The 26,318-nt window shown below is 60.7% G+C and overlaps 3 protein-coding genes across 4 annotated transcripts in view, besides 9 other annotated features; all 3 read left to right on the forward strand.

Annotated features, from left to right (window-relative positions):
* Window positions 245–474: a silencer, noted in NCBI's record as "silent region_11035". NCBI's record gives its function as "represses an Ori minimal core promoter by ATAC-STARR-seq in GM12878 lymphoblastoid cells {active_cell/tissue: GM12878}" and the evidence as "EXISTENCE:reporter gene assay evidence [ECO:0000049][PMID:35858748]".
* Window positions 485–614: a silencer, noted in NCBI's record as "silent region_11036". NCBI's record gives its function as "represses an Ori minimal core promoter by ATAC-STARR-seq in GM12878 lymphoblastoid cells {active_cell/tissue: GM12878}" and the evidence as "EXISTENCE:reporter gene assay evidence [ECO:0000049][PMID:35858748]".
* ZNF628 (zinc finger protein 628) lies at window positions 9,009–16,879 on the forward strand. Its single transcript, NM_033113.3, has 3 exons — window positions 9,009–9,199; window positions 12,226–12,309; window positions 13,593–16,879. Exons 2-3 carry the CDS (start codon window positions 12,303–12,305, stop codon window positions 16,763–16,765), a joined length of 3,180 nt encoding a protein of 1,059 aa, NP_149104.3. The 5' UTR covers window positions 9,009–9,199; window positions 12,226–12,302; the 3' UTR covers window positions 16,766–16,879.
* Window positions 9,075–9,274: a silencer, noted in NCBI's record as "silent region_11037". NCBI's record gives its function as "represses an Ori minimal core promoter by ATAC-STARR-seq in GM12878 lymphoblastoid cells {active_cell/tissue: GM12878}" and the evidence as "EXISTENCE:reporter gene assay evidence [ECO:0000049][PMID:35858748]".
* Window positions 9,407–9,730: a silencer, noted in NCBI's record as "fragment chr19:55988382-55988705 (GRCh37/hg19 assembly coordinates)". NCBI's record gives its function as "represses an EF-1alpha promoter that drives an FKBP-Casp9 reporter gene in an ReSE screen in K562 erythroleukemia cells {active_cell/tissue: K562}" and the evidence as "EXISTENCE:reporter gene assay evidence [ECO:0000049][PMID:32094911]".
* Window positions 14,514–14,808: a silencer, noted in NCBI's record as "tiled region #3758; K562 Repressive non-DNase unmatched - State 18:Pol2". NCBI's record gives its function as "represses a minimal TATA promoter and a strong SV40 promoter by Sharpr-MPRA in K562 cells {active_cell/tissue: K562}" and the evidence as "EXISTENCE:reporter gene assay evidence [ECO:0000049][PMID:27701403]".
* Window positions 14,514–15,359: a biological region, named in NCBI's record as "Sharpr-MPRA regulatory region 3758".
* Window positions 14,646–15,359: an enhancer, noted in NCBI's record as "H3K27ac-H3K4me1 hESC enhancer chr19:55993621-55994334 (GRCh37/hg19 assembly coordinates)". NCBI's record gives its function as "activates a minimal SCP1, AML or CMV promoter by ChIP-STARR-seq in naive H9 embryonic stem cells {active_cell/tissue: H9 hESC(naive)}" and the evidence as "EXISTENCE:reporter gene assay evidence [ECO:0000049][PMID:30033119]".
* Window positions 17,370–17,789: a silencer, noted in NCBI's record as "silent region_11038". NCBI's record gives its function as "represses an Ori minimal core promoter by ATAC-STARR-seq in GM12878 lymphoblastoid cells {active_cell/tissue: GM12878}" and the evidence as "EXISTENCE:reporter gene assay evidence [ECO:0000049][PMID:35858748]".
* Window positions 17,580–19,958, forward strand: NAT14 (N-acetyltransferase 14 (putative)). Its single transcript, NM_020378.4, has 3 exons — window positions 17,580–17,650; window positions 18,053–18,172; window positions 18,800–19,958. Exons 2-3 carry the CDS (start codon window positions 18,101–18,103, stop codon window positions 19,346–19,348), a joined length of 621 nt encoding a protein of 206 aa, NP_065111.1. The 5' UTR covers window positions 17,580–17,650; window positions 18,053–18,100; the 3' UTR covers window positions 19,349–19,958.
* Window positions 17,890–18,219: an enhancer, noted in NCBI's record as "active region_15097". NCBI's record gives its function as "activates an Ori minimal core promoter by ATAC-STARR-seq in GM12878 lymphoblastoid cells {active_cell/tissue: GM12878}" and the evidence as "EXISTENCE:reporter gene assay evidence [ECO:0000049][PMID:35858748]".
* Window positions 20,828–26,318, forward strand: part of SSC5D (scavenger receptor cysteine rich family member with 5 domains) — a 30,664-nt gene continuing 25,173 nt past the window's right edge. For both annotated transcript variants that reach the window (NM_001144950.2, NM_001195267.2), the window contains exons 1-7: window positions 20,828–21,006; window positions 21,398–21,424; window positions 21,746–22,054; window positions 22,274–22,387; window positions 22,690–22,800; window positions 23,164–23,472; window positions 25,987–26,304. In NM_001144950.2, coding sequence (NP_001138422.1) covers window positions 20,982–21,006; window positions 21,398–21,424; window positions 21,746–22,054; window positions 22,274–22,387; window positions 22,690–22,800; window positions 23,164–23,472; window positions 25,987–26,304 — 1,213 coding nt within the window. In that variant the 5' untranslated portion in view covers window positions 20,828–20,981. The remainder of the gene's footprint in view (window positions 21,007–21,397; window positions 21,425–21,745; window positions 22,055–22,273; window positions 22,388–22,689; window positions 22,801–23,163; window positions 23,473–25,986; window positions 26,305–26,318) is intronic.

Genomic DNA, 26,318 nt, shown 5'->3' on the forward strand with positions numbered 1-26,318 from the left:
AAGGTGAAGGTTTCCTGTCCTGTTCTGCTCCAGGTCTCAGGTACAGAGGGAAGGGTCCAGGGTCCCTTGGCAAGAGGCCGAAGGGAGAAGACCCCTGGGTCTCTGGAGGATGGGAAGGGAAGGATTGGCTCTGAGGGCCGGGAAGGGGCCCGCCGCCACGTGGCTGGGGTATGACCTTTGCTACCTTGATACACACTTTATCGTGTGTATTCACATCTGGTAGCTCTTATTTCAAAATTTGCATTCCACAGTCCAGGGGCCAAGAGCAACATCCGCCGGCCAGCTCTGTCCCACTCAGGCCGGCCAGCAATGCACAGGGCGGCCGCCTGCAGGCTGCGGCCTCGGGACTGTCCACCAGGGGGCGCCCACCCGGCCGGTGCTGGGCGGCCCGGCTCAAGGGGTGCGGCCCGAGAACTTGGGGCCCTCTCCTGTCTCCTGTCATTGAGAACAATCAACCACAGCAGGGAGCTGGCTTCATGGGGTCTTTGTTGAGGACCTGCACTTCCAGGTGCTGGAAGGTCTTCCCCAGCCTCCTCTCCCCTATCCCAGCCCTTGAAATTCTGTGTGTGTTGGGGGTGGATTTAGTCATTCAACAAACATTTATTGAGCACCTTGCTTTACTGAGCAGTGGAGGAGGTGAAGTCAGAGAAGCCGAGGGGGCGCGGGGAGCAGACCTGCCGGGCTTTGTGAGCCAGGCAAGGGTTGGGCTATGAGGGTAAGCATGATGGAGAACCATAGAGGGTTTGGGGCAGGGTCTAACCCAACCTTCTTTGCAGGCCTTGCTACAGCTGGAATGTGGAGACCCCACCCTCCAATCCCCCTACAATCTGGATGGGGGTGTCAGGGCCAGGCCAGGAAGCCAGGGACAACCCAGGGTGTGTCCTTCCCTGTCCCCACCTGCTCATCTGCTATCTGCTCCCTCTCATCCAGTCATTGTGGGACCTTGTTTCCCTTAATTTTTTTTTTTTTTTCTGAGATGGAGTCTCGCTCTGTCGCCCAGGCTGGAGTGCAGTGGCGCGATCTCGGCTCACTGCAAGCTCCGCCTCCCAGGTTCACGCCATTCTCCTGCCTCAGCCTCCCAAGTAGCTGGGACTACAGGTGCCCGCCACCACGCCCGGCTAATTTTTTGTATTTTTAGTAGAGATGGGGTTTCACCGTGTTAGCCAGGATGGTCTCAATCTCCTGACCTCTTGATCCACCCGCCTCGGCCTCTCAATGTGCTGGGATTACAGGTATGAGCCACTGCATGCCTAGTCTTTTTTTTTTTTTTTTTGAGACAGAATCTCTCTCTGTCACCCAGGCTGGAGTGCAGTGGTGCAATCCTGGCTCACTGCAACTTCTGCCTCCTGGGTTCAAGAGAGTCTCCTGCCTCAGCCTCCCAAGTAGCTGGAATTACGGGCGTGCACCACCACGCCCAGCTAACTTTTGAATTTTTAGTAGAGACAGGGTTTCACCATGTTGGCCAGGCTGGTCTCGAACTCCTGACCTCAGGTGATCCGCCTGCCTTGGCCTCCCAAAGTGCTGGGATTATAGGCGTGAGCCGCCGCCCCTGGACCCCTTAAAATTTATTATAAAAATGTACAGATGGCAGAGTCACAATGCATCACCCTGGTGTTCCCAACCCAGACGCAGAGGGGCCAACCCTGTCGTATTTGGTTCACAACTCTTCTTCTGAGAGAAGGCAGGCCTTGGCTGCCTGTGTCCCCCCAGATTCAGATGTTGAAGTTGTAACCCCCATGCTCCAGAGTGAGACAGTATTAGGAGAAAGTCTTTAAAGAGGCAATTAATCTGAGTCTCTGTGGCTCACACCTGTAATCCCAGCACTTTGGGAGGCCGAGGCAGGTGGATCACCTGAGGTCGGGAGTTCGAGACCAGCCTGACCAACATGGAGAAACCCCGTCTCTACTAAAAATACAAAATTAGCCGGATGTGGTGGTTCATGCCTGTAATCCCAGCTTCTCCGGAAGCTGAGGCAGGAGAATCACTTGAACCTGGGAGATGGAGGTTTCAGTGAGCCGAGAGCACACCATTGCACTCCAGCCTGAGCAACAAAAGTGAAACTCCGTCTCGATGAAAGAAAAGAAAAGGGGCCGGACGCGGTGGCTCAGCCTGTAATCCCAGCACTTTGGGAGGCTGAGGCGGGCGGATCACAAGGTCAGGAGATCGAGACCATCCTGGCTAACACAGTGAAACCCCATCTCTACTAAAAATACAAAAAATTAGCCGGGCTTGGTGGCGGGCGCCTGTAGTCCCAGCTACTTGGGAGGCTGAGGCAGGAGAATGGCGTGAACCCAGGAGGCGGAGCTTGCAGTGAGCCGAGATCGGGCCACTGCACTCCAGCCTGGGCGACAGAGCGAGACTCCGTCTCAAAAAAAAAAAGAAAGAAAAGAAAAGAAAAGAGAGGAGAGGAAAGGAGAAGGGAGGGGAGGGGAGGCAATTAAGTTAAACAAGGCCATTAGGGTGGGCCCTAATGCAATCTGACTGGTGTCCTTACAGAAGAGATTAGGACACAGACACACACAGAGGGGCCACCATGGAGGCTCCACAAGGAAGACAAGCGTCTGCAAGCCAAGGGGAGAGGCCTCGGGGGAAAGCAACCCTCCCGACACCTTGACCGCGGACTTCTGTATCCAGAACCGGGAGAAAATAAGTTTCTGTTGTTGGGGCCACTCAGTGTGGGACTTTGCTATGGGGGTCCCAGCAGACTCATATATATAATGAGTGTATTCGCTCTCTACGCTGTGTAAGAAATAGCCACTGATGCAATGGCTTTAAACAACGTACATTCATTATCTCACAGTTCCGTGGCCAGGAGTCCAGCACCGTGGTTTATCTTGGTCCTCTGGTCAGGATCGCTGCAATCCTCGAGTGACCCAGGGCTGTGGTCTCATCTGAGGTTGGGGTCCGCTCCCAGGTTTACATAGCAGCATCCATTTCCGTGCTTCTTTTTTTTTTTTTGAGACGGAGTCTCACTCTGTCGCCCAGGCTGGAGTGCAGTGGCGCGATCTCGGCTCACTGCAAGCTCCGCCTTCTGGGTTCATGCCATTCTCCTGCCTCAGACCCCCGAGTAGCTGGGACTACAGGCGCCCGCCACCACGCCCGGCTAATTTTTTGTATTTTTAGTAGAGACGGGGCTTCACCGTGTTAGCCAGGATGGTCTCGATCTCCTGACCTCGTGATCCGCCCGCCTCGGCCTCCCAAAGTGCTAGGACTACAGGCGTGAGCCACCGCGCCCGGCCTCATTTCCGTGCTTCTGAGGAAGGCATGGAGCCCTGGGTTCACGGCCAGCAGGAGAACCTCAGTGCTTCCCATCTTTGATCTCTAGGTCCAGCTTTAAAGAGCTCCACTGACTAGGTCAGATCCACCCAGGGTAATCTTCCTGTATTAGTCAGGGTTCTCCAGAGAAACAGAATCAATAGGCTATGTCTGTCTATCCACCCATCAATCAACCTATACATCCATCTATTTATCCATAGATTGATCTATGAGGATAGCGATAGATATGAATAGCTACAACAATATAGATACATCTCTCCAGAAAGAGAGTGATTAGAAGGTATTGGTTCATGTGATTATGGAGGCCAAGAAGCCCCATGTTTGCTGTCTGCAAACTGGAGAACCAGAAAAGCCAGTGGTGTAGTTGGAGGGCCTGAGAACCAGGAGCTGATGGAGTAGATTCCAGTGTGAGTCTGAAGGCTGGAGGACCAGGAGGCCCGAGGGCAGGAGAAGATTGATGCTACAGCTCAAGCCTGAGGGCAGGGATGGAGTTCCACCTTCCCCTGAGGCTGAGGCCCACCCACCCTGCGGGAGGCTGCCTGCTTGGCTCACGCTACCAATTAATCTCTTCCGGAAACACTGTCACGGACACACCCAGAATCACGTTTAACCAGGTACCCGCGCATCCCGCGGCCCAGTTCAGTACATGCATAAAATTTAACCGTCACTTTTCCCCTTGATGAACTCAAAGTCCACTAATCAGGATCCTATTTTTTTTTTTTTTAATGAGACAGAGTTTCGCTCTTGTTGCCCAGCCTGGAGTGCAGTGGTGCGATCTCAGCTCATTGCAACCTCCGCCTCCCGGGTTCAAGCGATTCTCTTGCCTCAGCCTCCCAAGTAGCTGGGATTACAGGTGCCCTGCCACCATGCCCTGCTGATTTTTTGTATTTTTAGTAGAAATGGGGTTTCACCATGTTGGCCAGGCTGGTCTCAAACTCCTGACCTCAGGTCATCCACCCGCCTTGGCCTCCCAAAGTGCTGGGATTACAGATGTAAGCCACCGCGCCTGGCCTCAGGATCCTTGATTGCATCTGCCAAGACCCCCCTTGCCTTCACCATATCACATAACCATCACATCCACATGATGCAAAGGCACTCACACAAGGGCACGGGTCCCTGGGGGTCATCGTAGAAGGTAGCAGCCACTCTTAGGGAGGAAATTTAGCATGCATCTGTCCCTGTCCGTTTTTGCACTTAAAATGGAGGAAGGTTTTACCTGTACAGATGGAACCCTGTATATTGTTGCTTCCTCCAGGGAGTCTGCCCTGGTTTCCCCCAGGCTGCGTGAGGAAGGTTTTACCTGTACAGATGGAACCCTGTATATTGTTGCTTCCTCCAGGGAGTCTGCCCTGGTTTCCCCCAGGCTGCGTCAGGAAGGTTTTACCTGTACAGATGGAACCCTGTATATTGTTGCTTCCTCCAGGGAGTCTGCCCTGGTTTCCCCCAGGCTGCGTCAGGAAGGTTTTACCTGTACAGATGGAACCCTGTATATTGTTGCTTCCTCCAGGGAGTCTGCCCTGGTTTCCCCCAGGCTGCGTGAGGAAGGTTTTACCTGTACAGATGGAACCCTGTATATTGTTGCTTCCTCCAGGGAGTCTGCCCTGGTTTCCCCCAGGCTGCACGAGGAGTCTCCCCTGGCTCCCATGTCCTGGGCAGCCTCCATGAGTGCCTGACCGTGCATGTGAGACCTGCTCGATAGGCCTTGGAAGTGGGTGGACTCTGGGGTTGGGCACATTCCTGGTCCAACCACTTCTGGGCTGTAGGAATTCCTTCCTGGTTACAGGACACTACATCACTTCCTGGTTCTGTGGCTTGGCCATGAGACTTCAGAGGGCCTTGCCTTACCCCACTGTGAAATGGGGATCACACCCCTTCTGAGTGGAGAGGCCCGTTAGCTTGGGGCCGGCTGGGGCTGCCACGGGGGCCTTAAGAGATGTCAGAAGGGAGCATCCTGGCCAGGTGCGGTGGATCCCGCCTGTAATCTGAACACTTTGGGAGACCGAGGCGGGTGGATCATCTGAGGTCAGGAGTTCAAGACCAGCCAAATTAGCTGGGCATAGTGGCAAATGCCTGTAATCTCAGCTACTCAGGAGGCTGAGGCAGGAGAATCATTTGAACCCGGGAGGCCGAGGTTGCAGTGAGCCAAGATTGTGCCATTGTACTCCAGCCTGGGCAATAGAATGGGACTCTGTTTCCAAAAAAAAGAAGGAAGCATCCTGAGTCTGTGGGAGGCAAGGGCCTGCCCCCTGGGTCCCCTGTTCCGGGGGATGGCCGGCAACCGGTGACTCCCTTTGCCCGTCCCCTCCGCCTTCAACCTAAAATGCATCTCTGGTTCCTTACCCGACTTGTTTGGAAAAGGACGTTTTATTTTTCATCGCTGGCCCTGGGAATCCAGTCATTACTCCAGATCCCTCCTTCACTCCCTGACCCCACTTTCTGGAGAGGGAGGGAAAGGGAGTGGCAGGTCCCTTCTAAAGCCTTCGGCTGATCCTCCTGGGATGGGGGTGGATGGAGAAGAATCTCCCAAGTGCGTGCAGGGCCTCTGGGCGGAAGTGACAGCACAGTCCCCAGGAAAGGGTGGGTACCTAGAGGGGCTGAATGGTTTACCTGGCTGGCAGGGGGCAGGGCTCAGAGTCTGAGGCTGGGCAAGGAGGCTGATCTAGTTGGGGTGGGGGGAACCGTGCCCCCAAAACACCTGGTGCGGGGTGTTGTTGGCCAGAAACAGAAACGTCTGGGGCCTGCAGGGGTGCAGGGGTGTGCATCCGCGCGTCTGCTTGGTCCTGCGTTTGAGGCTCTGGAGGTCCCCTTGCTGCCCTGGAGCTTTATCCCCCGCTGGGCTTTTCCCTGCAGCACTGAGCAGCGGGTAGTCTGTCTTCTTTGTTACCACTGCATGCCCTGGGAGGTTTTGTGAGCTCACTGGGATGGTGAGTTTTTTATTGGTTTTCCCCCTCCACATTGCTATGACCCAGCTCCCAGGGCAGGACCTGGGGTGGAGCCCTGGTCTGGACTGTGGGTGGGAGCGCTGCTGGGCCTGGAACAGCTGCAGCTGAGGATTCTGTGTGATCTTATCCATGTTTTTGGCTATTTGATTCTGTTTTTGTCTGTTTGTTTGTTTGAGATGGAGTCTTGCTCTGTCGCCCAGGCTGGAGTGCTGTGGCACGATCTCGGCTCACTGCAAACCTCTGCCTCCTGGGTTCAAGCAATTCTCCTGCCTCAGCCTCCTGAGTAGCTGGGACTACAGGCACGCGCCACCATGCCTGGCTGATTTTTGTATTTTTAGTAGAGTTGGGGGGGGGTTTCACCACGCTGGCCAAGCTGGTCTCGAACTCCTGACCTTGTGATCCGCCTGCTTCAGCCTCCCAAAGGCCTGGGATTACAGGCATGAGCCACTGCACCCAGCTGATTCTGTTTACTTGTCAGCATGAGGGACCTGACAACATCCCTTGAAGGGCTACACAGATGTTCCGGGGGGTTAGGAGACAACCCCACCTCCCCATCTGGGTCCCTGAGACTCCTCCTTGGCCTGGAAAGTGCTGGACACAAGGCTGGCCTGAGTTTCCTCCGGTCACTGTCTCCAAGGGGCTGCGAGGCTGTTCTGAAAACAAACCTGTTGAATCCACACCACCTTTTCAGAGACAGCAGGTTGCCCAAGGCCATTGACTTCAAAACCTTTGTTCACCTTCTGGCTGCAAAGTGGGGAATGTTAAGGAGAGTAAGAGCCAGTCTTAGCCATGCCAATCTCTCTTTCTTTTTTTTTGAGAGGGTCTCGCTCTCTTGTCCAGGCTGGAGTGCAGTGGTACAATCTCGGTTCACTGCAGACTTAACCTCCCAGGCTCAAGCGATCCCCTCACCTCAGCTTCCTGAGTAGCTGGGACTACAGGTATGTACACCACAGGAAGCTTATTTTTTGTAGAAATGAGGTCTTGCTGTACTGCCCAGGCTGGGTGTCCCATCCCTTTTGTAATGCCTCTGCGTGGGCAGGTAAATGAGGGGGGCTGAGCTGAGGGCCCCTTTCACTACTGCAGAGACCAAAATGGCCCGAGGCAAGGGGGACGGAAGTGGGATCCGCACCTCTGGGCTTTCCTAGCCTGGCAGCCAGCTGGGCAGTGCATTCCCATCCACGTCTCCACCCTGCATGGCAGCCGCTTTGTGTGGTTAATGCTGACGTGAAAGGAATGTTGGGCTGAGCTGGATGCCAAGGGTTTTTACACGCACGAATGCACGGAGACATCAGCACCAAGACCCTGTAAGGTAGGGGTGGGTCCACACCACCGCAGATCAGCCCTGAGTTCCAGCCTGCTTGTGGACTTGGGAAACGGTGTGGGAGGCTGGAAAAATCCACTCATTCAACAAACAAGTACCGTCTGCTTCTCCATCAGGGCCCATGCTGGTTGTTTGGAATACCTGGGCAGCAAAGACACGAAAGGTCCTCGCTGTCATGGGACATAGATAAATGTCGCTGAGCATGTAAGAGGGACACCACCTAGCACAGGAGGCTTTCCAGTGGGATCTTGCTGGGCAGGGATGGGTTAAGGGTAGAAGGGCCTTCTGGCCTGAGAAACAGCATGCAGAATGGTCTTCAAGCTGAGGGTACTGCCTTTGAGCAGTGGCTCTCAACTAGTGAACATGTGGCAATGTCTGGAGATATTCTTTTTGTTGTTGTTGTTTTTTTTTTTTAACACAGAGTCTCACTCTGTCACCCTGGCTGGAGTGCAGTGGCACGATCTTGGCTCACTGCAACCTCCGACTCCTGGGCTCAAGCGATCCTCTTGCCTCAGCCTCCTGAGTAGCTGGGGTTACAGGTGCCTGCCACCATGCCCGGCTAATTTTTGTATTTTTAGTAGAGACGGGGTTTCACCATGTTGGCCAGGCTGGTCTTGAACTCTTGACCTCAAGTGATCTGCCTGCCTCAGCCTCCCAAAGTGCTGGGATTACAGGTGTGAGCCACCGCGAAAATCTCTATCTGGAGATATTCTGAGCTCTCCTACGGGGTGTGTGGAGCGGGGCTGGGGATGCTACCTGCATCTAGTGAGTGGGGGCCCTAGAGTGTGTAGGACAGTCCCCGCTGCAATGAATCCATCCCAAATGGCACTAGTGCTCTGGTTGAGAAACTGCGTTTAATGACCCTCAGAAAAGCCAGTGTGGCTGGAACGCTGGGTTGGGCGGGGGTTGAGCGTGGAGAGGGGCTTTGGAGCAGCTCGGTCTCCCACTAAAACCCTAGGCCCCACAAGGAGTCTGTGGATTCCAGCCTCCCAGAACAGACCTTTGCCCAGCAGGAACCAGGTTTCTGCAGCGTCTGGATGAGCGTGCACGAAGCACACGCCCGAAAATCCTGAGCACGTGGCTCTACCGAGGGACTGGAAGCGCTCCAGGCCTCGTTTTCCCGCTGGAGCGATTACACCCTGGGGGCGGGGCCCGCTTCACGGGAGGGATTTTTGTACAACCGTGGTGCATGGAAGGATTTTTTTGCAGATGAGAGGGAATCGGGATTAATAAGGGGAACTTGCGACCCCGCGTCTCGAGCTGGCCGTCCCTGGCCTTGGGCTCACCGGGGCCTCGGCCCCCAAGACCTGACAACTGGAGTCCGCGACCACAACTGGGAGAACTACAACTCCCAGGATGCCGCGCACCGCCTGCGCCCGAGCTCGACGAGGCCTCGCACAGCCAATGGGAGGGTCCGGGGGCGGGAACTCGGAGTACGTGCGTTGTGACGCACCGACGGCGACGTCGGGGTTTGTGTGCGCGAGAGGCCGCCGATAAAGGTTGGGTGCCTCGCGCCGGGGGCCGTTGGGAGGGAGTGCGCCCCTGCCCCCCCTCCCCGGTCCCCACAGCTGCACCGCCGCTGCCGGGGCCCCACCTTCCCGTCGACCCCCGCGGGAAGGTCCTGGGGCTGCCACCCTCGTTCCCCCGATTGGGGCCGCAGGTGAGAGACCGGAGGGGGTGGGGGTGGGGGGAGGGACCGGAGGGCGGAGAAGTTGCAGGGGGTGGGGCGGGGGGGGGGGCGTGAAACCGGAAGGGGTACCTTAAAGGGGAGTCACTATTTCACCTCCGACATTTGCCAGCTAGGCCGGGTCCGCCCTCTTAAAGGGCAAGGGGCCACATTGAGAGGGCGGGTCAGGCTTTGCATTTTTACAGAAGCTTTCTGACTTAAAACAATGTTTTTCCCCTAAAAGGCGGTTATCTCATTAAAGGCCAGTGACCGTTTCCCAGACATTGAAGCAAAAACTCCTGAGTCCTGGTTGCTTCAAAGCGATCCCTGGTTTAGCTCAACAAAAGTGGAGATGGGGCTCCAGTGGCAGCATCCCCTTAAAGGGGAGGTCCAGCCTGCTGAACGGGTGTGGCGCGGCCTTTTAAAGGGGATGTCTTCTTGTTAAATGGGACCCCGCTCTTTCAGGGCACGGATATCTCTTTTAAGGAGATGCTGGGGCTTCTCAAAGGCACGTGCAGCTTCTTAGCATCAGTAGGTTTGTTTTTTTTTTTTTTTTTTTTTTCTGGAGACGGAGTCTTGCTCCGTTGCCCAGGCTGGAGTGCAGTGGCGCGATCTAACCTGCTTACATATTAAAGGGTACACTTATCTTTTAAAAAGGAAGTTCTTGGCTAGGCGCGGTGGCTCACGCCTGTAATCCCAGCACTTTGGGAGGCCGAGGCGGGCGGATCACTTGAGGCCAGGAGTTCAAGACCAGCCCAGGCAATATGGTGAAACCCCGTCTCTACTAAAAATACAAAAATTAGCCGGGCGCGGTGGCGTGCACCTGTAATCCCAGCTACTCGGGAGGCTGAGGCAGGAGAATCGCTTGAAGCCGGGAGGCGAAGGTTGCAGTGAGCCGAGATCGCGCCACTGCACTCCAGCCTCGGTGACAGAGTGAGACCCTGTCTCCAAAAAAAAACAAAAAAAACACACAAGTTCTTGTAGCTTGTCCGACGGGGATGCCTAGCCTTCATTCATTTAAAATTTGTTTACTGCGCACACACTCTGCCAGACATTATTGTAGGCACTGGGATGGCATACAACAGTGAACCAGACAGAAGCCCCTATTTTCCCGGCGTTGACATTCTAGCATGGGGAGGCAGAATAAAACAGAAAGCACACTGGTTATATAGTAGCGGTTCTCATCTGGGGGCAACGGTGCTCCCCAGGGGCGACACTGCGGCTAAGACTCGGAGGTGCAGGAGTGAGCTTTGTGGACAGCGTAGAGGAGGGCTTCATAGGCCAATGTCAGGCGTCCAGTGGGTCGAGGCCGGGGGCCAGGGCTGCTGCTCGACACCCTGCAGTGCACAGGACAGCCCTCAACAGAGAATGGTCTGGCCCCACATCTCAGCACTGCTGAGGCTGAGAATCCTGGTACATTAGAAGGTGATAATTGCTGCGGGGGAAAAATAAGGCAGGAAAAGGGAATGGGGAGTTGGAAGGGATTGTAGATTTAAATAGGGCTGTCAGGGAAGCTCTTGCAGAGGGGATTTCAGCGAAGACTCGGAGGTGAAAGAGCGAGTGGCGGGCACAGGTGGAAAGGAAGGGGGTGGTTCTAGGCAGGTGCCCTGAGGTGGGAGCAGGCGTGCCTGGCCATCCTGGGTGACCAGAGTGACCAGGGGCAGGTGGCCAGTGAGGATAGCAGTAGGACAAGTCAGGGAGGGGACAGGCTGCAGGAAGTCGGCAGGCTCGAAGACCAGAACTGTGGCAGATTTCTGAGTACAGGAATGCAATGCCCAGCCCTCCCTGTTGACGGGTTCGCTTCAGTTGCTGTATTGGGAACAGACGGGTGGGCAGGGCACGGGTGGAAACACGGCGATCCGTGGGGAGGCTGTTGCAGCTGCCTGGGAGAGAGACAGTGGTGCCTCAGATCAAGGTGGAGGCCTGTGAGAAGTGGCCAGATCTTGGATATGTTCCGCCTGGAAGGGGAATCTGCGGACAGGGGCAATCGAGAGAGAGGAGGCGAGGAGCCTTTGGCCTGAGGAAGAAGACGGCTGCCATTTTCAGAGATGGAGAAGCTATGGGTGGAGTAGAAGTTGGGGGCGAGGAGCAGAAGACCATAGTTAGATTTTGGGCATGTTAAGTTGGAGGTGTCTAATGAGGCATCCAGGTGGAACAGTCTAGCAGGTGGTGTGGCATTCAGAGGGTAGGTCTTATAGAGCTGGAGGCCTGGAGTCATTGTTCATAGACAGTGGAGTCCTGAGAGTGGGTGGGGGCTCCCAGGGAGAGAGGACAGACAGAGGACAAAGTGGTGCCGGAGCCCCGGGCGCTCCCACATCTAGAGGTCAGGGAGGTGAGAAGGAACCAAGCTGGGGACTGAGATGGGGTGACAGGTGACGGAGGGCAGTGAGGGAGCGAGGTATCCCGGAGGCCAGGGGGAGGCGGGCCACGGACCCAGTGACAAGTGGGCCATTGCGGGCCACGCGCCGCCCAGGCCATGGAGTGGGGGCACCCGCGTGGGACTGAAGGGGTTTGCGCTGGGAAAGAGCGGGCTGACACTTGAGCTGCTCTGCTGTGAAGGAATGGAGAAACGAGTCTGCAGCTGGACAGGGAAGTGGAGTGAAGAGCTTTTTGGTTTTTAAAGATGGGAGACATAGATTGTTGGTTCTGCAGATGGGAACGTCCAGGAGAGGAGGAAAAGTGGAGGATGTGGGTGGGAAGGCACAGTCCACGGGCACTGGGTCAGGCCTGTGGGGAAGGATTGCGCAGGGTTTCTGGACCTCGCACTGCTGACATTGTGGATGGGATTGTTCTCCGCTGTGGGGCCGTCCTGTGAATTGTAGGATGTTGGGCAGCATCCCTGGCCTCCACCCACTAGATGCCAGGAGCACTTGCCTCTCTAGTTAACAGATAACCCCAAATGCCTCCAGGCATTGCGGGATGTCCCCTGGGTTGAAGGCACAGTTTGTCCCAGTTGAGAACCACTAGTATCGTGGTCAGAATGTGAGAAACTTCGCGTCTGATTGCTTTTATTTTCACAGAGGCATGATCAAGGACAGGGTTGCCTGCCAAGAACAGGAGGGGAGAGGAGGGGCTGGAGGTTTCAGGAGAAAGAAGCATGTCAGGTAGTCACCTGGGGAGTGCATGGGCCAGAGACATGTAGTGTGAGCCAGGGAGGGTGATGGTGAGGGGGCCGCAGATTTTGTGGGCTTGAAGGGAAAGTGAGACTGAGGCCAGGCAAGGGGGTGCCTGTCATGGCCACCTGCAGCGTTTGTGCAGGGTCGGGCAGGAGTGAGGATGTGGGTTGGCTGGAGGTGAAAGGGCGCGCTGGATGGTAGATGGGCTGGAGTCTAAGGATTTGGGGAGTTGGAGCACCAAGCTAGAGTGACCTAGAAGGCTTTGTGGTGTTGGGAAGTAGGTTGTTCCAGGCTCAACCATGAGGACACTTTTTTTTTCCTTTTTTTTTTTTTTGAGATGGAGTCTCTCTCTATGGCCCAGGCTGGAGTACAGTGGTGTGATCTCGGCTTACTGCAACCTCCACCTCCCAGGCTCAAGTGATTCTCCTGCCTCAGCCTCCCAAGTAGCTGGGATTACAGGTGCCTGCCACCACGTCCAGCTAATTATTTATTTATTTAATTATTTTTTGAGATGGAGTTTCACTCTTGTCACCCAGGCTGGAGTGCAGTGGCACGATCTTGGCTCACTGAAACCTCCACCTCCTGTGTTCAAGCAATTCTCCCGCCTCAGCCTCCTGAGTAGCTGGGATTACAGGCGCCCACCACCATGCCGGGCTAATTTTTGTATTTTTAATAGAGACAGGGTTTGACCATGTTGGCCAGGCTGGTTTCAAATTCCTGATCGCAGGTGATCTGCCTGCCTCAGCCTCTCAAAGTGCTGGGATTACAGGCGTGAGCCACAGTGCCTGGCCCCATGAGGAGGCTTTAGTTAAAATGAAAAGGCTTAGGGTATGGCAGTGGGAGGAGTGTTGAGGCCGAGATGGAGGATAAGGTCTTAGAGGGAGAGCAGCAAGGAGGAGCCAGGAGAGCCTCTCTGCGTGTGGTCTTCAGGGACCCTGCCTGTCTGGAGAGGGAGGGAGCAGACTCCTACAGGCAGTGCTTGCTCTCTTGAAGGCGGGCCCCAGCCTTCTCAGACCTGGCTAGCCTCCTAAGGAGGGTGGCCACAGTTTGCTGGGGAGTTTCCATTTCAGCACTGAAAGTGCAGCATCGCTGGCACCTGCTCAAGTCCCAAGCAAACTGGGACCATTGGAGACCCTCATCCTAAGGAAGGTCCCCTGCAAAGTGGGTGACCTGGGGAGGTAGTCCCTGTCCCTTAAAGAGCCCGTGTGTGGGTTTGGGGTTGAGATGATCCAGTGCGGGGGTGAGCCGCTGACCCAGAATCCCTCCCCCAGGTGTGATGGTCGGCTCCCACGCGGACATGGCGCCGGCCTCTACTGCGGAGGGGGCCGGGGAGAAGCCAGGCCCTGCGGCCCCTGCCCCGGCGGCCCAGTACGAATGTGGGGAGTGTGGCAAGTCATTCCGGTGGTCGTCCCGGCTCCTGCACCACCAGCGCACGCACACAGGCGAGCGGCCCTACAAGTGCCCAGACTGCCCCAAGGCTTTCAAAGGCTCCTCGGCCCTGCTCTACCACCAGCGAGGCCACACGGGCGAGCGGCCCTACCAGTGCCCCGACTGTCCCAAGGCCTTCAAGCGCTCCTCTCTGCTGCAGATCCACCGTAGCGTGCACACCGGCCTGCGGGCCTTCATCTGCGGCCAGTGCGGCCTGGCCTTCAAGTGGTCGTCCCACTACCAGTACCACTTAAGGCAGCACACAGGCGAGCGCCCCTACCCGTGCCCGGACTGCCCCAAGGCCTTCAAGAACTCGTCCAGCCTGCGGCGCCACCGCCACGTGCACACCGGCGAGCGGCCCTACACCTGTGGAGTCTGCGGGAAGAGCTTCACGCAGAGCACCAACCTGCGGCAGCACCAGCGCGTGCACACGGGCGAGCGGCCCTTCCGCTGCCCGCTCTGCCCCAAGACCTTCACCCACTCCTCCAACCTGCTGCTGCACCAGCGCACGCACGGCGCCGCCCCCGCCCCGGGTACCGCCTCCGCGGCCCCGCCCCCCCAGTCCCGGGAGCCCGGCAAGGTCTTCGTGTGCGACGCCTACCTGCAGCGGCACCTCCAGCCCCACAGCCCGCCCGCGCCTCCCGCCCCGCCGCCCCCGCCCCCGCCCGTGGTGCCTGAGCTCTTTTTGGCGGCGGCGGAGACCACGGTGGAGCTGGTGTACCGCTGCGATGGCTGCGAGCAGGGATTCAGCAGCGAGGAGCTGCTCCTGGAGCACCAGCCGTGCCCCGGGCCCGATGCGGCGCCCCAGCCCCAGGAGGCACCCGCCGAGGCGCCCAAGGCCGACCAGCCACCGTCCCCTCTGCCGCAGCCCCCTCCTCCCGCCGCCGCCCCCGCGCCTGGCTTTGCCTGTCTGCCCTGCGGCAAGTCCTTCCGGACGGTGGCTGGGCTCTCCCGCCACCAGCACAGCCACGGGGCTGCCGGCGGGCAAGCGTTCCGCTGCGGCAGCTGCGACGGCTCCTTCCCGCAGCTGGCCAGCCTCCTGGCGCATCAGCAGTGCCACGTGGAAGAGGCCGCGGCCGGGCGCCCGCCCCCGCAGGCTGAGGCTGCGGAGGTGACCTGCCCCCAGGAACCGCTGGCGCCTGCCGCCCCCGTCCCGCCGCCACCCCCGTCCGCCCCCGCTTCTGCGGAGCGGCCCTACAAATGTGCCGAGTGCGGCAAGTCCTTCAAGGGCTCCTCCGGGCTGCGCTACCACCTGCGGGACCACACGGGCGAGCGGCCCTACCAGTGTGGCGAGTGCGGCAAGGCCTTCAAGCGCTCCTCCCTGCTGGCCATCCACCAGCGGGTGCACACGGGCCTGCGGGCCTTCACCTGTGGCCAGTGCGGCCTCACCTTCAAGTGGTCGTCCCACTACCAGTACCACCTGCGGCTGCACTCTGGCGAGCGGCCCTACGCCTGCGGGGAGTGTGGCAAGGCCTTCCGCAACACGTCGTGCCTGCGTCGCCACCGCCACGTGCACACTGGCGAGAGGCCCCACGCCTGCGGTGTCTGCGGCAAGAGCTTCGCGCAGACCTCCAACCTGCGGCAGCACCAGCGCGTGCACACGGGCGAGCGGCCCTTCCGCTGCCCGCTCTGCCCCAAGACCTTCACCCACTCCTCCAACCTGCTGCTGCACCAGCGCACGCACTCGGCGGAGCGCCCCTTCACCTGCCCCATCTGCGGTCGCGGCTTCGTTATGGCCGCCTATCTGCAGCGGCACCTGAGGACGCACGCCCCGGCCAACACGCCTCCCAGCACCACAGCCCCTGCCGCCGGCCCCCAGCCCCCTGCTCCACTGGCTGCTGCGCGGGCCCCGCCAGCCACCCAAGATGTCCACGTCCTGCCCCACCTCCAGGCCACGCTCTCCCTCGAGGTGGCGGGGGGCACGGCCCAGGCCCCGAGCTTGGGGCCAGCAGCGCCCAACTCTCAGACGTTCCTCCTGGTGCAAACTGCCCAGGGCCTCCAGCTGATCCCCAGCAGCGTGCAGCCCCCTACACCTCCGCCCCCTCCCGCACCTCCCAAGCTCATCCTGCTGCCCTCCTCCAGTGCTGGGGCTGGGGGCGGCCGTGCAAGGCAGGGCCCGCGGGCAGTGGGGAAAGCGGGCCAGGGGGCGGGAGTGGTCTGGCTGCCAGGCCCTGGGGGTCTAGGGGTGCAGGGAGCGGCCAGCGCTGGGGCCAGCGGGACAGGGCAGAGCCTCATCGTTCTGCAGAATGTGGGGGGTGGGGAGGCAGGGCCACAGGAAATGAGTGGGGTGCAGCTCCAGCCCCTCCGACCAGCCCCAGAAGTAACCACGGTCCAGCTCCAGCCAGCGCAGGAGGTGACCACAGTCCAGCTCCAGCCAGCACAGGAAGTAACCACGGTCCAGCTCCAGCCAGCACAGGAGGTGACCACGGTCCAGCTCCAGCCCGTGGCCGGCCAGCTCTCCAATTCCAGTGGGGGAGCTGTGGCTACTGAGGCACCCAACCTGCTGGTTGTTCAGAGCGGGGCAGCTGAGGAGTTGCTCACTGGCCCGGGCCCCGGGGAGGCGGGGGATGGCGAGGCCAGCACTGGTGTGGTCCAGGATGTCCTCTTTGAGACACTCCAGACGGACGAGGGCTTGCAGAGCGTGCTGGTGCTGAGCGGGGCCGATGGCGAACAGACTCGACTCTGCGTACAGGAGGTAGAAACACTTCCTCCTGGGCTGACGGAGCCGCCTGCCACCGGCCCACCCGGACAGAAACTCCTCATCATCCGCAGCGCCCCAGCCACTGAGCTGCTGGACAGCAGCAACACTGGAGGAGGCACCGCCACGCTGCAGCTCCTGGCCCCACCGCCGTCAGGCCCAGCCTCGGGCCCCGCGGGGCTCCCCGGGGCTCCAGCCTCCCAGATGGTGCAAGTGGTCCCCGCAGGAGCTGGGCCTGGTGTTATGACCCCTCAGGGCCTGCCCTCCATCCAGATTGTCCAGACTCTACCCGCAGTCCAGCTGGTGCACACGTTTTGAGGAGAGGCAGTGATTCCCCTCCCGCCCCGCACAGAGACCCCGACTCACTGCCAGCCGGGGCGGGGCAGGGTGCCGCAGGCTGGGCTTGCTAATAAAGACCCGAGTCTCCCCGCCTGTGTTTTGTTTTCCTGGGGGGAGGGAAGGGGGCAAAGTCATGGTCCTAGCCCCCGCCTGGGAGCGTGGAGTCTTAAGTCTTGCGTCCTGGGTCGCAGATGGCTTGTTCTGCATCCTGGGGCCAGCCACTACGTAGGGCTCAGTTCCCCTGTCCTGAAACCAAAAAAGGCCGCAGGGGTCATTATAGTGGGGAGGTGGTGACATCAGACTCCAGGGAGTGCTACTTGTTCACTGTAGGTCGCCCCGCTGCCCCCCTCGTGTGAGAAGTAGGGGGATCCTTATGCGGAAGGGTTCTGCGACCCCGGGCGCCCCGTGGGTGGAGTGGGGTCCCTGGGGATGGGGGAGTCGGGCGCCAGGATGCTGAGCGTGGCCGGCTCCTCCCGCGAAGGCCCCGGCACGGATGAGAATCCACGCGCTGGCGTCGCCGCCCGGCGCTCAGGTTGCTCAGCAACGAGGGAACGTGGGGCGGGAGCTCGCGCTGGTCCCCAGCCCGCCGCCCGTCTCCTGCCGGCTTCCGCTCCCGTTCTTCCCCAGGTCCCCTTTCCCCGTTGCTCCTTCTCTAGGGATAGGAGAGGTCGCTTCCCGGCCCTCCGCAGGGTCACAGCTCGGTTCCTCCCAGCCCGCCCTCCGGGGAGCTTAGCAACGGTTGCTACGGCCCGGAGCGGGCGCCGCCCCGCCCCACCGCGCGCGGTCTGACGTCACTTCCGCCCGCGACCCCCTTCCAGACCCGCTCCCGAAACCTTGTCGAAGGACCAAAGGCGACCGGTGCAGGTGCTTGCTGGTCCTTGTTCTTGTGGCGCGGGACGGGGACGACTGTGGGGGAGGGGGCGCTGGGGACCGGGGTGGAGCGAGCGTGGTCCGTTCTCTGGCATGTGGGGAGGGTGTTCGTGGACCCCAGTGCCTGGGAGGGAGCCCCGTGCTGCAGTGTTGGCGTCCGCAGCGCGTTTGGGAGTGTAGATCGCTGAATAATACGGGGGAGGGGGGATCCCGGGAGACTTTAGCAAGGTCGCTGAGTATTGTGGGGGGCGCCTGTCCTGCCGAGATCCTCGCTTGGGGGCCCCGAGGGTTCTCAGTGTCCTGATCTGGGAAGTGCCGTTGCTGCTCCCTACCCCTCGGGGGAGCTTTGGGGACAGAGGTGCCCCCCTGACGCTGACCTACTTATGTTCTCACCAGGTGCACGACGCCAGCTCCCTTCTGGGGGGCCGGGGCCTGGGGGTTGCCATGGCCCCCAGCCACCTGTCAGTGCGGGAGATGAGGGAAGATGAGAAGCCCCTGGTGCTGGAGATGCTGAAGGTGAGAGGCAGGGGCCCCAGGGGGCCTGGGAGTGGCTGCAGTGGGGGAATTGCAAGTGGATTCAGCCACCCCCTCCCACCCACCTGAGCCAGCCTGGACCCCTGGAGCGGGATCTTTTCCTCCTGAGCCTCAGCCGCCCTGCTGCTGAAAACCACAGCAGGTGTGGCAGGTGGGGGCTCACCCCCCCAGCCCTACTGGGACCCCAGCACCAACGCCCTCCCTGGTCTCCCATCTCCAGTCGGCTGTGCACGCCAGCACAACAGCCAGCTCTGTGCCTCGGACCCCAACTCTTCAAAGCACAGCCCAGCACCCCAACCTAGCCCAGCAGCCTCCCTCCAGCCTCCACTCCAGCCTGAGGCAACCTCCCTGTCCTTACTTCCCTGGGGCCTCACTGCGGCATTGCTACTGAATTGAGTGCCCCCACAGCTCCTAATTCACTCATCCATCCATCATTCGCTCTCGTTCATTCATTCACTCCATACCCAGTGTGCCACACTGAACATCGGACTGTGCTGCCTTCCCTTCCCATTTGGGAGCTCTCACCCCGCCCCGGGCAGGGTCTACCTCCTCTCTTTGTCCAGGAGGCCCTAGCGTTTCGGATGGCTGAGCCACCCCTCCTGCCCACAGGCCGGCGTGAAGGACACGGAAAACCGCGTGGCCCTCCATGCCTTGACACGGCCGCCGGCCCTGCTCCTCCTGGCGGCGGCCAGCAGCGGCCTGCGCTTTGTCCTGGCTTCCTTCGCCCTGGCCCTCCTCCTGCCGGTGTTCCTGGCTGTGGCCGCCGTGAAGCTGGGCCTGCGGGCCCGATGGGGCTCGCTGCCTCCGCCGGGTGGCCTGGGGGGCCCCTGGGTGGCCGTGCGGGGCTCCGGTGACGTGTGTGGGGTCCTGGCTCTGGCCCCTGGCACAAATGCAGGGGACGGGGCCCGGGTCACCCGCCTGTCTGTCTCTCGCTGGCACCGCCGCCGGGGCGTGGGCAGGAGGCTGCTGGCCTTCGCGGAGGCCCGGGCTCGGGCCTGGGCTGGGGGCATGGGGGAGCCCCGGGCCCGGCTCGTGGTCCCCGTGGCTGTGGCCGCCTGGGGGGTGGGAGGGATGCTGGAGGGCTGTGGCTACCAGGCCGAGGGGGGCTGGGGCTGCCTGGGCTACACGCTGGTGAGGGAATTCAGCAAAGACCTGTGAAGCTACAGACTGACAGCCAGGGCAGGGGAGGAGGGAGGGGCGCCAGCACCTGATGATCGCCTACTGTCTGCGGGTTCTTTTACCTGCTCTCCCTCAGTGAGTCCTCAACCACCCTGGGCCCAGAAACAGAGGCCTGCCGAGGGGAGGAGCCTGGCCTCTGTCCACCCGTCAGCAGTGTGAAGTCTGTTGTGTTTGAGCTTCTCAGAGTGGAATGACTCCTTTTCCTTCCTGGCCCTCGGGGGCCTCTCGAGGTCAGCCTCTCCAACCCCTACCTCAGCTCCTGTCTGCACTGAGAAACCTCCCCGGGTGATGTCTGCAAAGTCTGTGCTGTCCGTGCCCCAGGCTGGGAGAGCTATCTGGGGAGGGGGAGAGGAGGCCGAGCAGAATACACCCCAGAGTTAGGGTTTGCGACTCCGCCTCCCTGGGACCTGGATTGGGTCAGATGCCTGTCCTTGGAGGGGACAAGGTTGACTGCTTAGGAGGCGCGACGCACAGGGCTGCCAGGCCTGGCCCCTCTCTGGGAAGGTTGAGAGCTGAGACGGGCAGCCCTGTCCCTTCCTCCAGATCCGTCTGGTTTTTTACACCGTTTGTTAATAAAGCCTGAAACCGCTGTGTGCCTGTCTCTTCTCTGATGGCTTTCCCAGTCTGTCTCCGGACACCCCCGCCCATTTCTGTCTGGCTTCTCCTTTCCCCAGTTAACATTAATTGTTGGGGGACGGTGCTGGACTGGGAGAAGGGGAGGCTGTGAGCTCAGGGGCAGCCCGAGGCCCTGCCAGCCCTTCTGAGTCACGCTCCCCATTACCGAATTTTTTCCGCCTCACAGCTGCCTGGTGTGCAGGCAGTGGGGTGTGTGTGTGTGTGTGTGAGTGTGTGGAAGAGTGTGTGGAGCCCCTCCCCTTCCCAAGCCTTGACCCTTGTGCTGCTTATCCCCCGACCCCAGCTCCCTCTGGGACAGTGAAGTTCAACCTCTCCTCTCTCAGCTGGGGACTGGGGGCTTCACACTCAGATCCACCAGTGAGTGGGAGGACTGGAGGGCCGGGTCTTTCAGTCTCTTTTCCTAACCCAGGAAGTCCCTCCTGGTGTCTGGCTGCAAATCTTCTTGCTGCTGCACCAAGAACCCCAGGTCTGCCCAGCCCCCAACCCTAGCAGTGGTCTCACTGGATTTCCCTGACCAGACAAGAGGGGAGACAGCAGGTGGGCGCCCCTCCCGCTCATGCTGCGCCCCCCCCGCACACGTCCCCCAACCCCTGTCCTGTGCCTTCCTGCAGCCGGCCACCCCCTAAGCATCTCTGGGCACAGCACTTTGCTGGCTGGAGCCTGCCTGGCCGTCGTCTCCATCTCCCGTGTGGGTGTCTGCAGTTGGACACCCTCCCTCCCGCCCGCCACCCCCCTCCCCCCCATGCCTCAGCAGACGGCCAGCCCCCTCCCGCCCCCCCTCCCCCCCACCGTCCCCTGCCGCCTCCCTGCAGCCTCTTTCTTCCTCCTGGCAAAGCGTCCAGCCCTGCCTGCTCCTCCTCGGGCCTGGGCGCCTCCAGCAGGCACTTCCCTCCCTCCCTCTCTCCCCAGCTGCCTCCTCCTCTTCTCTCCCCGCTCTCCTTCCCCTTTCACCCCATCCCCTGCCCTGGCTGCAACCATGAGGGTCTTGGCCTGCCTCCTTGGTGAGTGATCCATTCTCCTTGGGGACTCGGGGGGCCTAGGCCCCCACCTCTGACCCCTTAGCTTGTCCAGTTTAGGGACTCAAACTTCCGGGACTGGTCGCTGGTGCTCCTGCATACCCTGACATCCCTTCTGAGGATCCCTGCTCAATCTGCCCAGCCTTCTGCCAGCCCAGAAGCCCAAGGGACCTGCCCCCTGCCCGCCCCCCAGCCCTGACCCTGCGGGGGATCTCCCAGACATCTGACCTTTAGCCAAGCCCATGTGTGTGTGTGTGTGTGTGTGTGTGTGTGTGTGTGTGTGTGTTGGGGTATTCAAGATGAGGGGCCTGCGCTGGAGAAAGGGCCACCCCCGGCCTGCCCCTCACACTGCCCCACCCTCCGCCCTCCCTTCCAGCGGCCCTGGTGGGGATCCAGGCTGTTGGTAAGTGCCCAGACTCCTCCCATCTGCCCGCCCCCCCCCCCAGGCCTCCCCCTTCTGCCCATCCAGGCCTGGCCTCACCCCCACTGGGTCCCCGGCCCATCCGAATTCCACTGTGACCTTGGCCCCAGCTCCGCAAGGGAATCCCCCAGGTGTCTGGCCGCATCTCTCTGAGCACCCAGGAGTCTGGGCCCAGGGGCCAGTGAGCAGGGCCACTGGCCTACAGACAGTACCTGCAGGACAGCCACCTGCCCCTACAGTTGCCCTGGCCTTGGGGCCCCCAGGATGCCCCTCCCCAGTCACAGCCATTCCTCCAACCCTCAGAGCGCCTGCGCCTGGCCGATGGCCCCCATGGGTGCGCTGGCCGCCTGGAGGTCTGGCATGGCGGGCGCTGGGGCACCGTGTGTGATGACGGCTGGGACCTGCGCGATGCCGCCGTGGCCTGCCGGCAGCTGGGCTGCGGAGGGGCACTGGCCGCCCCGGGAGGCGCCTTCTTCGGGGAGGGGGCAGGGCCTGTGTGGCTCAGCGAGCTGGCTTGCCGGGGCAACGAGGGGCAGCTGGGCCTCTGCCACCACCGGGGCTGGAAGGCCCACATCTGCTCCCACGAGGAGGACGCGGGCGTCGTCTGCGCAGGTGAGGACACCCTGGCTGCTCCTTCAGGGGGAGCTCCTTTGGAGATGACCCAGGAACCCCAAGTCCTTAGCCCCAGCAAGTCTGAGTGTTCAGCAGTTCAGAGACACCCAACCTCCCATCCCCTCCAAAGCCAGGTGGCTAACTCCCTCTTCCAGGGACCCAAATGGCCTGGATTCCCCTCCTCTCCTCATAGCTTCTGTCCCTGCCCCCCCGCCGCAGGTCAGCGTGTGGCTAACTCCAGGGACGACTCAACATCTCCCCTGGATGGGGCTCCCTGGCCAGGGCTGTTGCTGGAGCTGAGCCCCAGCACGGAGGAGCCCCTGGTGACACATGGTGAGCCCAGGGGACTGCCCTGCCAACCCCCACCCAGCGTGCCCTCCTGCCCCCCCCGAGGGGAGAGGGACTGCCCTGCCAACCCCCACCCAGCGTGCCCTCCTGCCCCCACCGAGGGGAGAGGGACCTCTGCAGTATGAACTCCCAGGGGACACACAGCCCGCCCCCTGCCCCGCCCCGTCTCCTTCATAGCCTAGGGAGTCCTCCATCACTTCAGACCCTCAGAGACGGAGGCCTGGGCCCCCAGGTGGGAGGAAGGATGAGGGGCTCAGCTCCTGACCCCTGGCTGTCTCCACTCCCAGCCCCCCGCCCAGCTGGGAACCCCCAGAACGCCTCCCGGAAGAAGAGCCCCCGGCCCAAGCAGGCCAAGTCCACCCGGGCCCCTCTGCTGACGACAGGAGCCCCCCGCCAAGGTAAGCTCCCTGCAGGCTCCCCCGACCCCAAGGCTGGTTGCTGTGAGGCCCAGGGCCCAGAAAAACTGAGGACCTGCGGGCGCCCTCTCCTTAGCCGGGGCCCTGGAGGGATCCCAGTGTTCCCCGCGTCCCTCCCCCGGGGATTTAGACGGCCAGGCCTGGTCTCCCCTCTTCTTCCTGCCCTGTCAGGAGGCCCAGGTGTCCTGGCCCGCTCAGGTCGTGGACTCACCTCTTCACGGGCTGCCGGCGGACAGATCTCAGGCCACCGCTCCCTCAGGCCTGTTTCCCCAGGTGGAAATCGAGGAAGGGGTGTTTGAATCATTTCTCACTGGCCACACCGTCCCCTCCCTGCTCACCCCACAGAGCGGCTGCGCCTGGTCTCTGGCCCCCACAGGTGCGCCGGACGCCTGGAGGTCTGGCACGGCGGGCGCTGGGGCACCGTATGTGACGATGGCTGGGACCTGCGCGACGCTGCTGTAGCCTGCCGGGAACTGGGCTGTGGGGGGGCGCTGGCTGCCCCCGGCGGTGCCAGATTCGGGCCTGGTGCAGGGCCCGTGTGGATGGACGATGTGGGGTGTGGAGGAGGAGAACAGGCCCTCCGAGACTGCCCCCGAAGCCCCTGGGGCCGGAGCAACTGTGACCACAGCGAGGATGCGGGGCTGGTCTGCACCGGTACGTCGGGCTGGGGCCTGGCCCCCTCCTGTCTTCCTCAGACCCCAGCTCCCTCTTGCCCCTCCAGGAAGCTGCAGCGGGCCTGCTCCCAGCTCTGCCTCCTGCCCGCCTGCTCTCTGCATGCCCAGCGCCCACTCACCACGCTCTCCAGCCCCTCCTTCCACAGCTCCTGCCGTTCTCCTTGCCAGGAATGGGAGGAGCAGGCTTGAGGCTTGGGCTAGTGCTCAGCCCTGTCCCGGGGCCTAGGCCAGTGACCGTTTGTTTAAGCCTCAGTTTTCCTGAAGGAGCGATGGAGCTAAGAATGCCTGCCTCAGGCTTGAGCCAAGTCCTGGAACGCAAGAAGCCCTGCCTGCCCTCTGCCACCGGGCTGGCCATGGCAGGGGACCGTCTCGGAGACCTCTTGTCTCTGTGGCCAACCTCTGCTCCTTCCCCATCCTCAAGGGAGCTGGTGGGAAGGAGGGAGGGAGGGCGGTGACTTGGGGGCATGGAGGGAGACTGAGGCAGGGTGGGGACACCCACGGGTGAGCCTCCATCTCCCCTCATTCACGCCCCCTCAGCGCGGGGTCTCCTCCCCTCATGTCTCCCAGGGGGTCCCTCCCCTCTCCTGTACCCCTTGGACCTGGGATAGAACCCAGCAAACAGCGGTTGGGGGGTGTTAGGTGAGAGCTCAGGGGCTCCCTCCCTCCTTCTCTCCTTCCTTCCTTCCTCCCTCTTTCCCTTTCTCTTTCCTTTCTTTCCTTCCACAAATCTTTACACACCACCACGGCAGGCCCCACCCTGCTGGACTGCCCGATCCATTGACTGTAGGAGGCCGGCAGGCAGAGGGCACCCACCTGGCATTTCATCAGCGTTGGGGTGGGGACAGTACACGGGCTGCAGGCAAAGCTGGGTGCCTGCCCAGGATGGGTAGGAAATGCTGACATCAGTGGGTATCCAGGGGGGAGAGAAGAGAGAAAGAGGCTGACCCTAGTCTCTGCTGTATGCTGGGCCCTGCGCTGTGCACGTTACCTGGGGCCGCTCTGAGCCTCCCGCAGCCCGGACGGGGTGGATCCTCATCCCTCTCTTCACAGATGTGGGGCCGAGGCTCAGAGAGGTGACGTAAATGGCCCAAGACCCAGGTGCCTAGCAAGCTCCAGCCCCAGCCGCTGACCCCTCTGGGTCTGTATAGACCCACGCTCCATGCCTGTCCCACTGCACAGTCGGCCATAGGGACGTGGTGGGGACACGGAGGTCAGAGTGGGAGTGAGCAGCAGAGAAGGCTTGTATGGGGTGGGGGTGGTGCCTTCGTGTGCCTAGTGTACAAGCTGTGGGGGAAGAAGTGGGACCTTCGGAGCAGAGTTCATTGGAGGGAAGTTGAGGCTCTGGAGAGGAGAGGGTGAAGGTGCCAAGAAAGGAAACAAATGAACTAAGGCGCCCGGTGAAGCTGGGAGCTTCGCCAGCATCTGATTTAATTCTCATGGCAACCCCGGGAGGGAGACGCTCCCCTCCCCTGTCTGCAGATGAGGAAAAGCAGACAGGTGTGTTAGACTCCTCCCTAGTTCTGTGCTCTTCTCTAGAACAGTGATTGGGGGCAATTCTGCACCTGCCTCGTTGGGGGACAGAGAGAGGGACTCCAGAGTCCTCCAATGATGAGTCAACTCTTACCCCAACAGAAATGTACCCGAAGAGCCAGGCATGGTTACAGGCTAACACCTGTAGCCCACGTGCTTTGGGAGGATTTCTTGAGGCCAGGAGTTCAAGACCAGTCTGGGCAACATAGTGAGACCCTTTCCCTACAAAATATAAAATAAAAAAAAAATAGCAGGGCATGGTGGCGCATGCCTGTAGTCCCAGCTACTTGGGAGAGGCTGAGGCGGGGAGGATTCCTTGGGTCCAGGAGGTCGAGACTGCAGTGAGCCAAGATTGCACCATTGCACTCCAGCCTGGGTGACATAGTGAGATCCCCTCCCCCCAAAAATAAAAAAATGAAATGTACCCTATGTATCCTAAGGCCAGCGAGAGGTTAATATCTAGACTAGTGGCTCTCAGCTGGCAAGGGAGTGAGGGCTTTCTCATCCCCTTCCTCCCCAAAGGACATCAGGCAATGTCTGGAGACGTTTTTGGTTGTCGCAGCTAGGGGGAGGGGTTGCCACTGGCATGTGGTGGGTAGAGGATGCAGTGCAGGACAGTTGCCACGATAAAGGAGGATGCCCAATGCCAGTGGTGCTGAGACTTGGAAATCCGGCTCTCTAGGATCCGAGGGGCCAGGCATGGGAGGTGGATCCAGGGGACCAGAGCCAGAGCTCCCAGCGTCCCCAGCCCCCACCGCCCCAAGGCAAGGGATATGGGGGATGCGCCAGAGTTGGACTCCGGGCCAGTGACTTCCTGTCTTGGAACCTTTTCCTCATTTGGATAGTGAAGATGGAATATTTGCTTCCCAGAGTCATCTTGGGGTTGCAGCCTGCCTGAGCATAGCTTAGTCCCCGCTCATCCACCCTCGTTTCCTGGCCCTGTGCTCCCTCTCCCACTATCCAGGCCCAGCACCTCGGCTGCGCCTGGCCGATGGCCCCCACGGGTGCGCCGGCCGCCTGGAGGTCTGGCACGGGGGTCGCTGGGGGTCGGTGTGTGACGACGCCTGGGACCTGCGAGACGCCGCTGTGGCCTGCCGAGAGCTGGGCTGCGGAGGGGCGCTGGCCGCCCCCGGGGGCGCCTTCTTTGGGGAGGGGTCTGGACCCATCATCCTGGACGACCTTCGGTGTCGGGGAAACGAGACGGCCTTACGATTCTGCCCAGCTCGGCCCTGGGGCCAGCATGACTGTCACCACCGCGAGGACGCCGGGGCCGTGTGTGACGGTGAGGGGGTTGTG

Source organism: Homo sapiens, chromosome 19 (genome assembly GCF_000001405.40).
Source record: "Homo sapiens chromosome 19, GRCh38.p14 Primary Assembly".
NCBI classification, from domain to species: Eukaryota; Metazoa; Chordata; class Mammalia; order Primates; family Hominidae; genus Homo; species Homo sapiens.